General features: G+C 39.6%; 1 protein-coding gene across 16 annotated transcripts in view, besides 3 other annotated features; it reads right to left on the bottom strand.

Annotated features, from left to right (window-relative positions):
* SAMD4A (sterile alpha motif domain containing 4A) overlaps nucleotides 1-13,099 on the bottom strand; it is a 228,000-nt gene that overhangs the window by 60,717 nt on the left and 154,184 nt on the right. The gene's annotated exons all lie outside the window — the stretch shown is intronic.
* Nucleotides 1,848-1,927: an enhancer, noted in NCBI's record as "active region_8416". NCBI's record gives its function as "activates an Ori minimal core promoter by ATAC-STARR-seq in GM12878 lymphoblastoid cells {active_cell/tissue: GM12878}" and the evidence as "EXISTENCE:reporter gene assay evidence [ECO:0000049][PMID:35858748]".
* Nucleotides 1,934-2,228: a silencer, noted in NCBI's record as "tiled region #12509; HepG2 Repressive non-DNase unmatched - State 15:Elon". NCBI's record gives its function as "represses a minimal TATA promoter and a strong SV40 promoter by Sharpr-MPRA in HepG2 cells {active_cell/tissue: HepG2}" and the evidence as "EXISTENCE:reporter gene assay evidence [ECO:0000049][PMID:27701403]".
* Nucleotides 2,028-2,147: an enhancer, noted in NCBI's record as "active region_8415". NCBI's record gives its function as "activates an Ori minimal core promoter by ATAC-STARR-seq in GM12878 lymphoblastoid cells {active_cell/tissue: GM12878}" and the evidence as "EXISTENCE:reporter gene assay evidence [ECO:0000049][PMID:35858748]".

Here is a 13,099-nt window from a genome sequence, read left to right as displayed (position 1 = left end):
AAATTTACACGCTGAATGCAGTTTATGCTTTAAAAATTATTTAAAGCATAATTTTTAATAATTTATAATAAATTAAATGATTTAAAAATTATTTAAAGCATGCTTTAAAAATGTTATGAACATATATTCCTAACATTTTAGAACTGGAAGCCTTCTGAAAGAATATAATTTAGTAATGCCTAATCTGGGAGCTGTGGGTCTCTGGGTAGTAGAAAGACCCCAAAATCCCTACGTACACCAAGCCTTGTTAGTGGATGAAATACTATGTCATGGATGACTTTTCTACATATAGAGAGGGTATTGGAATTAATACAACAAATTAATATAATGTAAATTAAACCTATGCTGAGTACATAGACCTTTCGTCTTTTTTAAAAAAATCAGCAGATTTGAAATACAATTGTGGTTTTAATGGGGACCCCGATTTTTAAATATTAGCTATTAACTTACACCGTTCATGTGTACTCTTGGTCTAGCACACTCATTTGACAGAGATGATTTGTTGCTTTATGCCGTCTTTGTTGAGTGAGCCTTCAATGGGCAGTCTGGGTAGCCTCAGGAACCTGTGTGCTGTATACCTTCAATTGTTCAACTATCTCCTCAAATTCAAGCCAACCATTATTTCTTTTTGCTGTCACTATGTGTTTTGAACTATTTCCAGGCTTAGCATTTTGTTTTAGAGTCTAGAAGCTGAAGCTGCTGAAACTGTCAGAAATTTGACTTCCTTTTGAATAAGGGCATTAAATATTCCTACACTCCTAATATCATTCTCTATACCAAACCAAATTCCCTGGGTTCTCAACCCAAGGTTGGGTTCTGTGCTCTCATCATGCCCTATGAGTCCAGCCACATAGAGATGATTTGCAACTTTAATCTTTTTTCCTTCTAAGCTAGTCTCTCTTCATTTTTAATTCAAGAAGCTGCCTTTCTCATAGAAAAACATACGCTTCATTAAATTTTCAAATTTCAAGATGCTCACATGATATAATTCAATCCAAATAGCTAGCACAACTAAACCTTATAAAAATAAGTCATAGCAATTTAGGGGTTTTAAAAGGTAGAATGAGGATGCCAAGTGTTTGCACATTATTTTAAAATATCTTACAATATTCTTCTTGAATTAAGAGGTCCTGGCCAATTCCCTGTGACTCAGGTGATGTATGCTGTGTGTCCACATACTTAGGACAAAGCAGGGCAGAATTTTACTTCTATGTTGCTAATTTTACTCATCTGTTACTTTAACAATATTTTCTAGGCTCATTCCCCAAAGAAATTCAGAAGTATCACTAGAACCTTTGCTGAAAACAAAAATTTGAGGCTTCACAGCATATAATTCTTAAGTTTTGCTGCAGGAGATAGTTTGATACTTATCAAGTCTAAAGAAGAAAAAGCTCAGCCCACTGCTAGCTACAAAAAGGTGATTGTTTCAAAGGAATTGGGAAGGGTTGGGTGTTTCTGTTCATTTTGTTAGGTTTCGGCCTGCTTCTCAGGGATATTCCAGTTTCTATCCCACAAATTTTTTCGATAACACCAGTTTCAGAGCATCTAAGAACCACTAAAGGCTTTCAATTTTCAAAGAATGTTCTGCTAACACCACTTGTATAAATAATTCCAGGCATTTGCTTTAAAAAAGTCAACATTTTAAGCAAGGCTCAGTGGTGAAATGATATTACACCCTGGATTCCTCTTCTTTAGTTGGTTTTGTGGTGTCACAACCAGTAATCTGAAGCCCTGTGGTGGGAATCTTTGGAGAAGAAAAGATTAATAGTACTTCAAGAATACATTTTGAAACATACAAAACCAGAGTATTTGATCAGTGACATCATGCAAACAAACAACAAAAAAAATAACACCAGATTTGTGTAAGTGGGGTAGAAGGGAGAGGAAGAGAGGGGAATATTAATCACTAAGGTTAAAAATAACATGCTCTGTCATCACTGCTTCAGGGAATAGATTAAAAGCCAATCTGAAAGGTTAAAAGCCTCAACTCTGCATGCTTGCTCTCTGCTTCTTGACCAAAGGCTTGAAAAACCAGTGCTTAGAACATCTGGACACCAGAAGACGATTCCCCTAAACAGACTTTGGACTCCACCTCATTCCGGGGGAAGAAGAGAGAACATGCTACAAAGCAAAGATGTGGTTGGTGGACGGGATGTTCCTGACAAGCCCAAGGAGGAAGCCACACACTTTCGGTGAAAAGAAAGTGTATACTTGCCTATGCAAATCAGACCAAAGGGAGACTCTAGAAGAAGAAAAAGCTGCAAAGAACATCACAACAGGGATGACAAATACACACAGCTAACTTCCTCTTTCCCCCATGACATCTCGTTTTTATTCAGCACTGAAATGAAAGCATTCTGATGCAGGGAAAAGCACATGGGGAGGCTTTCCTAGTACCGTGAGTCCTTGTCACTGGTGTCAGCTCTTACTACTCTACAGATGGCTCAGTTTTTGGGCAGAGCAAAGATGTATGTTTCTGCCTTCACATTATCACTTAAACATTTGAGCTTTTAAGAAATAAATTAGAATGCTTCTGGCAGACTTTTATTATTGCACTAATCTTTGGTATATTTCATCTGTCCTCTTTTGTCAGCCTCTATAATGGCAAAACTGGGTGTCATCCAGTAGAAAATCTATTTTAGATAACGGCTGTTTGACTTTACATTGTCATTATTTATGAAATACCTAGACAAGAAGCCAATATGTATATACTTTAAATAGAAATCAGTAAATTTCATCCACACTTAGCTTCAAATCAAGAAATCCTAAAAGGACACTACCTCAATCCTCTCATTCCATCCTATCAAAACCAATGACAACTTCCATCAACTATGAAAGCAATTTTCCACCTTTGAAGCAAATGTGTAGGCTAATTCAAGAAACGATGGGATCAACCTGGCTATTTTGAAGTCTCCTTCATACTGGGTTAACTTCTACTTTCCTGTACTGTTTCTTTTTGTATCTACCATTATACTAAACCCTTAAGTTTGTCCATGAATTTCTATCCACATAAAATGAAGATATTTCTAGAAATGAGTTTAGACAGAACTGTAGAATTTTATTATTTCACCAAGTAGGGAAAATAATGGAGTTAAGCAAGTGGCCAGGAGTGAATTTAAGCCGATATTTCTTTTTTAATGTTCCCACGTATCTGTAAAAATGCTCCAGTCACTGTGTGTAGAGAAGCGAGATAGTAGAGAAACTCAGGAAGCTAGATGACAAAAACTTGCCTCCTACCCTTTTCTTAAAAGATAACTCTCAAATTGTAAGTGCTGTTTCATCAGCTCACATGCCTATGCAGAAAGTGCTTCTGAGGTTTATGCAATACAGCATCCATCCCGCGCTTAACGGCACCACCTAGACTGCTACTGAGTGTGGGAACCAGCAAGACCATCCAAGTTTGGAACTTCAAATAGCCAGGATTTCATGACTGAGCCACCAAGACCCTCTCAGAGCATCAGTCCCAAGGAGATGGCCAGAGTCGCTGAACAAATCATCAGGGTGTCCTTTTACACCTTGTTGCTACCAGCACTTGTCAAGAAGAGCAGTGAGTCAATTGCTTGAATGGAGGTACCAAAGGATATTTTAAAACTGTGTCTACTAACTCCTGTCTTGAGCTGAACCGCAGGCCAGGTCTTCCTTCACTGCCACTGAAGCTTAAAGGCTCCCAGATAACATGGAACAGTGGCTCTCACTGATCAGGTAAGGACAGGCATCATCAGAGGATGCCTAAATCCTACGGCCAGCAGAGCCTTGCAGCCACATGCATGACTAGGATTTCTCTGAGTATGAAACCCTAAACTCTGCCTTGATCAAACAGTATTTTTTTCTTTTCTTTCTAGTTTCAGGAGAAGGGCTGTAAATAATTAGAAATGTATTATGTAGCCCTGACTAATTCTTAACTTAGCTCCTTGATAAAAGGAGGAGAACAGCAGATTCTCAGCATGGCAGTGAGGAGGGCAATTTACTGATTAGGGAATTGGTTCTTGTTTTCATTAAAGCATTCAATCTACATGTCAAATGCAACAATACACATAAATGACCATTCAAAAAAAAAACCAGAATTTGAGTTTACACTACTAATTAGATGATTTTTTTGTTGTTAATTAGGAGAAATTGGATGGTTTAGGCTCTCCTGGCTCCTTAATTATATTTGATTGAATCGCCATGTGATTCAGACAAGCTCTGGAGGCTCCACAACACCCCAATTCCCACTTTCACTTCACCTTCAGCCTCTTACCAAATTCTAAACCATCACAACCTTACCCTGTGGGTGTTGGAACATGGTGAGATTGGTACTGTGTTTGTAAAATTGATTTACTGTGGTCTGTAATTATACATAACGATTTGAATTTTTGACTTGGCACTGCATTTTTCATTTAAACCGTACCGTTCTTCTCTGCCCCAGAGAAACAGCATTTACGTAATTGCTCTCAACTCATCTACTTGGGTATTATAAATCAGTTGTGCAATAAAAGACTTCCAGAGACACAGCAAGCTCGAGGTTCCTGGCATAATTCAGCGCCCAGGACCGTTCCAGCTTAAGGACAGGAATTGAACAGCATTCATTTCTTATTGGATATGAAATGGAGAGGGCTGTCTGGAGCTACAGACCCCAGCAGCAAAAAGAACAGGCTGTGAGGGTGATCAGGAGGGCTGGGCTGAGCCCAGATGCCAGCTCAGATCCAGAGGCTGGGCTCCCTTTGCTCCTGTTTACTGCTGGTTCCCCCTCACCTGTTATACAAACTAGGTAGTGCGTGTGTGTCTGTGTGTGTGTGCGCGTGCGTGTTCATCTACATGTCTATATACCATTGACCCTCATTATTCATGGATTCTATATTTGTAAACTCACATATTGCTAAAATTCATTTGGAACCTGAGTCAATACTCGTGGCCTTTTCATGGTCATACACAGACACAAATACAGTAGCCAAAAATTCAAGTCTCCCCATGCACTTGCTCCCAGCTAAGGTGGAGCAAAGTGAAGCGCTGCTTTCTTGTTTCAGCTCTCTACTATAAACAAGTGTCCTTTTTGTGGTCTATTTAGTGCCATATTTTTCACATTGTTGTGCTTTCTGTTGACAATTTCACCATTTAAAATGGCCCCCAAGGCTGGGTGTGGTGGCTCACCCCTGTAATCCCAGCACTTTGGGAGGCCGAGGCGGGTGGATCACCTGAGGTCAGGAGTTGGACACAGACTGGCTAACATGGTGAAACCCTGTCTCTACTAAAAATACAAAAATTAGCCAGGCATGGTGTTGCATGCCTGTAATCCTAGCTACTCGGGGGGCTGAGGCAGGAGAATTGCTTGAGCCCAGGAGACAGAGGTTGCAGTAAGCCGAGATCGTGCCACTGCACTCCAGGCTGTGCAACAGAGTGAGACTCCACCTCAAAAAAAAAAAAAAAAAAAAAAAAAAAAAAAAAAAAAAAAAGGAAAAAAAGAAGGCTGTTGTGATAAGCTTCATTCAGGTATGAATTACAGTGTTCTTTGTTGTGAGTTCAACATTAATTAATCAATAATATACATTAAATAAACTATCTTTAAACAGAAACACACATAAAACAACATTATGTATTGATAAGTTGACAAAAATGTGACCGAACCTAGCCCTGTATTTTCTCTAGAAGCAATCATTCAATATTCAATAATTCAGTGTTCACAACAACTTTATAGAATGCAGTTACCCTGAATGAGTAATAGACTATCTGTACACGTAAATACAAACTCTTCACTCCACCTTCCATCTTGTGACCTACCACAGTTTTCTCCTAGACCGGTGGTTCTCAACCTTGGCTGTACACTTAACTTCCTTTGAGCCTTTTAAAAAAAAAACCCCGATGCCCAGGTCCCATTCCAGAATAAGTCACTGAGAATCCCTGCAGCAGGGTCAGAGCATTTGTACTTTTAGATGCACCTTGGTGGCTTTAATCGATAGCCAGGGTCAAGAACCACTGCACTGGGCTGCCTTCCTGCCTCAGTACTTTCCCCCAAACTTTGTCCCACATCTTGGACAGTCCAAACCTCCCTAGATTGGCTGTTGCTTCTGCTGGTCTTAATAAGATGCCTCAAAAGAATGAGCATCTTGTTTTGTTTTCATGGGGCTTTTAAAAGACAAAATTCATACCCTCACTTTTCCCATCAATGATTATCTTATTTGCTTTGGATTCCCATGCAAAATTCTGTTCAGGTTCTTTAGCTCAGGGTTGATCACTCTTGCACTGCTCTCTAGATAAAGTAAATGATATTTTGAACCAGGGTTCCAATCCAAATGATACCTGGGCAGGAATTCCTAAAGACTCCCCAGAAAAATATTTTGACTCCTGGGCAATAGTGCTTGCCTCTTGTTGTGGTCATTTTCACCCTTGTAAGTAGGAAAGAGAGGGTCAGGGGTCAGCCTCAGGCCCCATTTGAATGTGAATCAGCTGCAGAAAGCTCCAGGCACATTTTCTTTTAGTCTGGAAATTCAGCTGGTGAGAGCATAACCAACTCACAAATGGTAAAAAATTGCATTCTAGATCCATGGACAGGTAGCATTGGCATCAACTGGGATCTTGTTAGAAGGGTTGACTCTTGGGCTTCACCCCAGACCTCCTGAACCAGGAACTGCATTTTAACAAGACCCTAGGAGATTTGTATGTACATTCAAGGTTAAGATGCTCTAACTACATACGCAGCTCTTGCTGGCTGATACTTGTTCTGTTGACGTTGGGGTAGGCATCAACCAAAACAAAAACGGACTGCTGAAGGGAGAAGAATTTGGGATTTGAGTTGGAAGTCATGTGGCCCTTCTGTACTTCCGTACCTAAAGTTTTCCCCATTAGTAGATAACAAAGGCTACGTTATGTGATTATTGGAAAAAATCTAATCATTTAATGCACATTAAAATGTTTTGCATATTGTAAAGTGCTCTAGAAATATTAGTTGTTAGCTGTTAGAGTAAGAATAACTTGGTATAAACCAACACTGCTAATGGAAAAATCATCTCAAAAGTACTAGCTAATCTAATGACATTCATGCAGCATTTTCAGCCTATTACATGTGGCATGAAAAATATATCTTGATTACTTGATAGTGTTTCACAGATTTACAAGAGGTAAATTTTCCATCATGGTCTGTCATACTGAAGAGAAACTTCACCTTGCTCTTTCAAAATCTTCACCTATACTGACAAACTTCTGCTTTTCCTGGTAAGAATCTTTTTTCTTTGATTCAGATTCAACTTGGTTTTTCCTTTCCTCTCACACATTTTAAGTGTCCACATTTCATGTGTATTTTATGGAGGGTCAGGAGATGTGAATCACCTCCTTTTCCACTAAATTTCAGTGCCCAGAACTCTTCATGAGAGCTTGTCTTTGTCCTGACATTTGTAAGCAATACAGATTGACTGAAATCCTTATTAAAGATTCTAAGTACCTCCATTATTTTAAGAAATTCAGGCTGAGAACCTATTACGTGTCTGGGTAACATTGGGTTCCTCATATGCAAAGCAAGAGGTTGGAGCAGATGAATTCATTCATTCATCGGATATTTGTGGAGTGCCCACCATGTGACATGCCCTAAAAGCTTGAGGTCACAATGTTGAAAAAGACATTACAGCCCAGTGGATGGTCTCTCAGCCCCTCCTAGAGCCAATTGCCTGTGATGCTGTTAGCCTATTTATGCAGTGCGGTTCTCTCTCACACCCCAGCTCATTTGGATGAGATATTATTGTCCCCACGTTATTTCTCCATATTTTAAAGTCTGCCTTATGATACCAGTAGAACAGCCAGTTAGGGTGTCAGGGTAAAGAAGCCAGCTGTTCACAAGGGCTGGATTCTGGAGAAAGGAATGCACCAAATTATACCGTTCTTCCCTGTTCCCAGGTCTCCTAATGTCTGGTTTTTCCTGCATATTTAGGATCTCATGGAAGGGTAACTGAATGAATGAACTCTGTTTTTGCTGTTTCCTCCTTACCTGCCCTGAGCTGGGGATATTGTACTGCTGTTTTCCCAAATGCAACCCAAAGACCCACCTGTGAGGCCCACTGTTCCCAGTCCTTTGGCCTCCAAAGAGGCCGCAGGAGAGTGCACACAATATCATCAGCTACCATTTGACAGTGCCGACTATGTGTCGGCTTCTTGGCTAAATGTGTAAACATGTTGTTCCATTTAATCCTCATTTAATGCTCTCTGAAGCAGATTCTACCATTACCCTCTTCCCACCCCCATTTCACAGATAGCAAGCTGAGGTGCAGAGGATAGCTGACTTGTCAAAGCTCAGACAGCTGAGCAGTGGAAAGAGCCAGAGTTCAAAATCCAAGGTTCTCTCACTTGCAAGCCTGTGTTCTTAGCCTGACACCGTGTTGCTTCTCATGGCAGAAAGAACTCTGGGCTTAGCTACTGACCCTGACTCTGAACAATCGATATTCAAAATCCTGAACAAGTCCACTAGCTTTTCAGGGCCTCAGTATGCTCATCTGGAAAATAGTTACAATAATGGTAATACCTTATTCCACCTACCTACCGGGGTTGCTGTGGGGGTCCTATGAATAGATGCGTCCTGCATTATTCCTTCCTTCCTTCCTTCCTTCCTTCCTTCCTTCCTTCCTTCCATCCATCCATCCATCCAATATTTGCTGAGCATCTGCCTGGTGTTGGGCATATGCTAAGCACTAGGAAGGATGACAATGAAGGCCAACTAAAATGATGTATGGGAAGATGCTTTATGAAATGAAAAAATGCTAATTGTTAACTTCCCAGAGAGTTAAGCTAACCTCATTTATTCACTCATGTAATGAACAGTGAGCATCTCTCTGCATAGGTACTGTATTAGTCGCTAGGGATACTGATGCCAAAAAGAGCATTCATAAAAAACAAGGCTGCACAGATGCAAACAGTATTTTCTATCATTTATTAAGCCATCACCTTCTATCATTCAGAAACACGCAGAAGCTAGAAGCCGCAAGGCAGTGTTAATATTCTAAGTAACACTTTCCATGAAGGTGAAGAATTGCTGAAGGATGTAAAAATTTTAGGTCATTTCAATTTCAATTAATTTGCCACAGTATTTCTAGGACTAATGAAAGTTTTTGAGGAGGTGGTAATGCACCAGGACCAAGATGCCTCTCTGAATCCTCCATTTTAGAGGGACAGTATCAGGGGATCTATATGAAAGTCAAAAAAACTATTCTTGCTTCTGTGGTAAACATATTGTTTCCCTGTCTGCAAGTTGGCTATTCCATGCAATCATTTACAATTCATGGCTCTGAGTAGCATAAAGATTCCCTATAACTAAATTAGAAATCACCTGCCCAACCACATGGAAAGCATCTCTTTTTCATTTGGGCTTTCCCCAAATGGTGCACAAAGCTTACGGTTCTGCTGTTCTGTGGGTGTTCTGAGGGCAGGGTAGGCAAGCATCTACACAAAAAATCAAACCAGAATCTTTCAAATTCAAATTAAATGCTGGAGGAGCAGCAGACCTAAGAGAAACACCTAGATGGGTTTTTTTTTTTTCTATTTAAAAATATAAGATAACCATAATGTCTCTCTGAACGAAAAGCTGTGCTTCAAGAATGGTTCTCCCAGAAATGAACACTGACTCACAAGGTACCAGATGGGGTTGGTATAGAGCTTTTCATTCTTGAGTCAGGCTGTCAAGGTAATTGGCAGAGAGCAATGCCGACATTTTATTGAAAGTAGAAGTTGTTGCTATTGTTTATGTGTCCAATAGAGTTCGTCCTGAGGGAATTTAAATGATGGTGCTACATTTCTTGATCTCTTCCTCCAAGAACATTACTTTCAGAAGACTGGAAGGTATAGGTAACACTGCAATTTGTCTCCCTCATGTATTTACCCCCGAGTTAACTCAAAATCCCAGAACTTTAAAACAGGAAGAAACATTAAATACATGATTAGATGAATATCATCTAATCCACTCCCCTTGCTATTTTATCAGTTAAGGAATCAAAGACCTAGAGAGATCTGGCAATTGCCCAAGGTCACTTAACAAAGTTGATGTTGACGCTAAGACTTAGAACCCTAATGTTTTTGGTCTTCATCCGTCACAGCATATCAATGGTCATTAGTTTTCGTATCAGTATCTTTTTGACAAAGAAGGGTAAAAAAATAAAGTCTGTGATCTAAAGTAGATAATTCCTCATTTAACACCAGAGCTATGCATTGCAGGACCCAAATGTTGAGGCCTATAGATTTGTACAACAGCTTGAACAGCATAAACACAGCAGGAAGTAGGACATCAAATAAACAACTGTATGCCAGTGGGGTTGTTCCAGAACCAAAGCTGTCACATCTTCACTCTGGGCTGGGATTTTCCAGGTCTGGGCACTCTGAATACCTATCCTTCTCATATTAGCTGTCCACCACCTGAGACATATTATGGGACCTTCTCATTTTTGCCTAACTGGTCAGAGGGACTGCCACCATTGATGTGAAGTATTGTTTATGGACTGGAAAAAGCAACATCTTCTTCAGCCAAAGCTGAAGTCGCCATGAAAGACTTATTTCACCATTAATACTTAATCTTTTTAATCAGTTTAGGTTGTATTTATTTCTGTGATTTTTATTATGAAAATATATTTATGCAGAGGTTTACAAATGGGATATTTATATGTAGACTGCTAGAAGCCATCATTTATCTACAAAATGCTATAATACAGTGTCCAATTTGTCATTTAAAAAGACTGGGCATTTTCACAAGGATGTCACTATTTCTAAGACCTAGGCCCTAGAGATAGTTATTTATTATTTGCTGGCACTTTAGAACTAAGCAGAACAGCAGAATCTCTTATTTTAGAGCCTCAAAAAAACTTCAGGGATCATTTAATTAATCTTTCCATTCTCTCCAGCCTAGTTTCTGGATAAGACAATGGAAACCGAGAGAAGGAAAGTGACAGGCTAAAGGTACCATTGCCAATGAGAAGAACTGAGCTCTAGTTCTAGTCTTCTTCCATGTGGCAACGTGATCTTCAGGCAGCCCCTTACCTTCCAAATGCAGCCCTCATTTTAACTATTAGAAATAGGCAACATCCTATTGATAATGAGAGTTATGGTGGGAAGATTACTATCAAGAAAAGTAAGAGCTTGAAGAGGAAGCTCTTGAGAGGTAAAAGCATTTCAGACACTCCCCATTAAAGATTTCTATTTAAGAGAGACAGATTTATCCCCACTTAAAATCAATGGCTCTAAGTAGCATAAAGTTTGGTTTCATTATCTAACCCTCAAAATTGAAATAATTGTGGATAAGATAGTTACTATTTATTGGGGCGTAGGGACTACACAAAGAGATCTAAATACATGCCATTCATTGATGTGCACATTCACTCATTTATTCATTCAACAAGCATTTATTGAACATCTACAATATGCCAGCCAGAGTTTTAGACAATGGAATGCTATGGTGAACAAGACCAGGTTCCTGACCTCTTAGAATTTATATTCTAGTGGGGGAGATAGATAATAAACAAGTAGACAATTAAAATAGACTGCCAATTTATGCGAATGTTATCTCTGTTCCTTCTGAAAACTCACAAAAATGACAGCAAAGGCACAAACTCACGAGGACAAAGAATGCAGGAGAGAAGATGACAGGAAATGAAAAGGTTATCAGCAGACCACTTGAAGTCAACAAACTGTTGTAAGCTGGAAGACAGAAGGACATGAGGGAACTGGCTCAGAAGACCTGAGAAAGGTGGTGTGTGTGCCCATAGCAAGGGAAAACATGGCAATTTATGTGGTAGAACTTCCATGAAGCTCAGGACTTGGAGAGCAGGTACCTCTGAAGGCAGGGGTGCAGGGAGGGGCTGGAAATTGGTGGTTTGGGGAACCTGGTGCTAAGCCATTCATAGACAACCTGTTTTTGCATTGGGTTTCACGTGCAGAAAAAAAAATAGGTTTGTTAGAATTTATGTTTAAGGTACAGAGAGATCCTCAGATTCTCCCTTCTACCCTGCTCAGCAAGGCAACTGTCATCTTAGCACCTTACTCCTAACAGGCCCTAGGACCCTCGCAGTAAGGCTTATATCCCTCAGGAGGAGGCTGGTAATGGGTTTCTTTAATGGTAATGGGCTAGTCCATGAGAAAAGAATTGCAGATGGTGATATATGTGAGTCCCACAAAAACAGCCAGGTTAGGTTCCTATCTGATCTCTCTGTGGTGAAATCTACACACATAAGGTTCTAGGTCCCTTCCTCTTAAATAAAAGGAAAGTAAGAATCAACAGATAACTGAGGAATGCTTCTTATTTGAGACAGAGTCCAACACAAACAGAAGAGAAAAAACTCCAAGAAACACAGGCAATATTGGGAGCAGAAGAGAACTCCAAAAATCAAATGTGATATCTTCAGAGACATTAGAAAAGATTTGGCAGCTATGAAACAAGAACAGAATGCAATACAAAAAGGAACCTTAAAAAGACAAAAAAGAACTCTCGGAATTTGAAAATATGATAGCAGAGATCTAAAATTACATAGTATGTTTGAAAGATCAAGTTATATGAATCACCTGGTGAGTAGAACAGAAAGATTAAAAGTAAAACAAAATAGGAGAAGAAACATTAAGGAGATTAGAAGATCAATAGAGAGGAGCTATTATCTAATCTGAAATTCTTTAAAGAGCGAGGAAGAAAATTAATGAGAGGAAATTATTTTGAAAATTCAAGAAAATTTTCTAGAGCTGCAGAAGCAAATATTTTAGACTAGGAAAGCTAGACTGAGGGTAACTAACACAGATGGGAGTAGGAGAATAGAAGGATGTCTTCAAGAAAAAGACTGTATGTAAACCCAGAGAGGACTTTCACAACCGCTTATGGGTGGCACTTAGTACTCCTTTTTAAGTTGATGAAATCAAGGCCAAGAGAGGTTAAGCTATTTCTCCAAGGTCACACAGGTAGTAATCAGTGGAACTGGGACTCAAACCCAGGTCAGTCTCACGCCACCATGTGTGCTCTGAACCACAGCTTGATATTGCCCAAGACCGTTCTGGACTTTGATTCTGCCATTCAGTATACTAGCAACCCTGCCAGATCTGTGCCATGAACACATGTTCTGGAATGAAACAGTGTGTCACAAAGAAGGGAATGTTGAGAAATAAGGGGTCATTT

Source organism: Homo sapiens, chromosome 14 (assembly GCF_000001405.40).
Source record: "Homo sapiens chromosome 14, GRCh38.p14 Primary Assembly".
Lineage (NCBI taxonomy): Eukaryota > Metazoa > Chordata > Mammalia > Primates > Hominidae > Homo > Homo sapiens.
The sequence above is the reverse complement of the archived record's forward strand: the minus strand, read 5'-3'. Positions and strand labels throughout refer to the sequence as shown.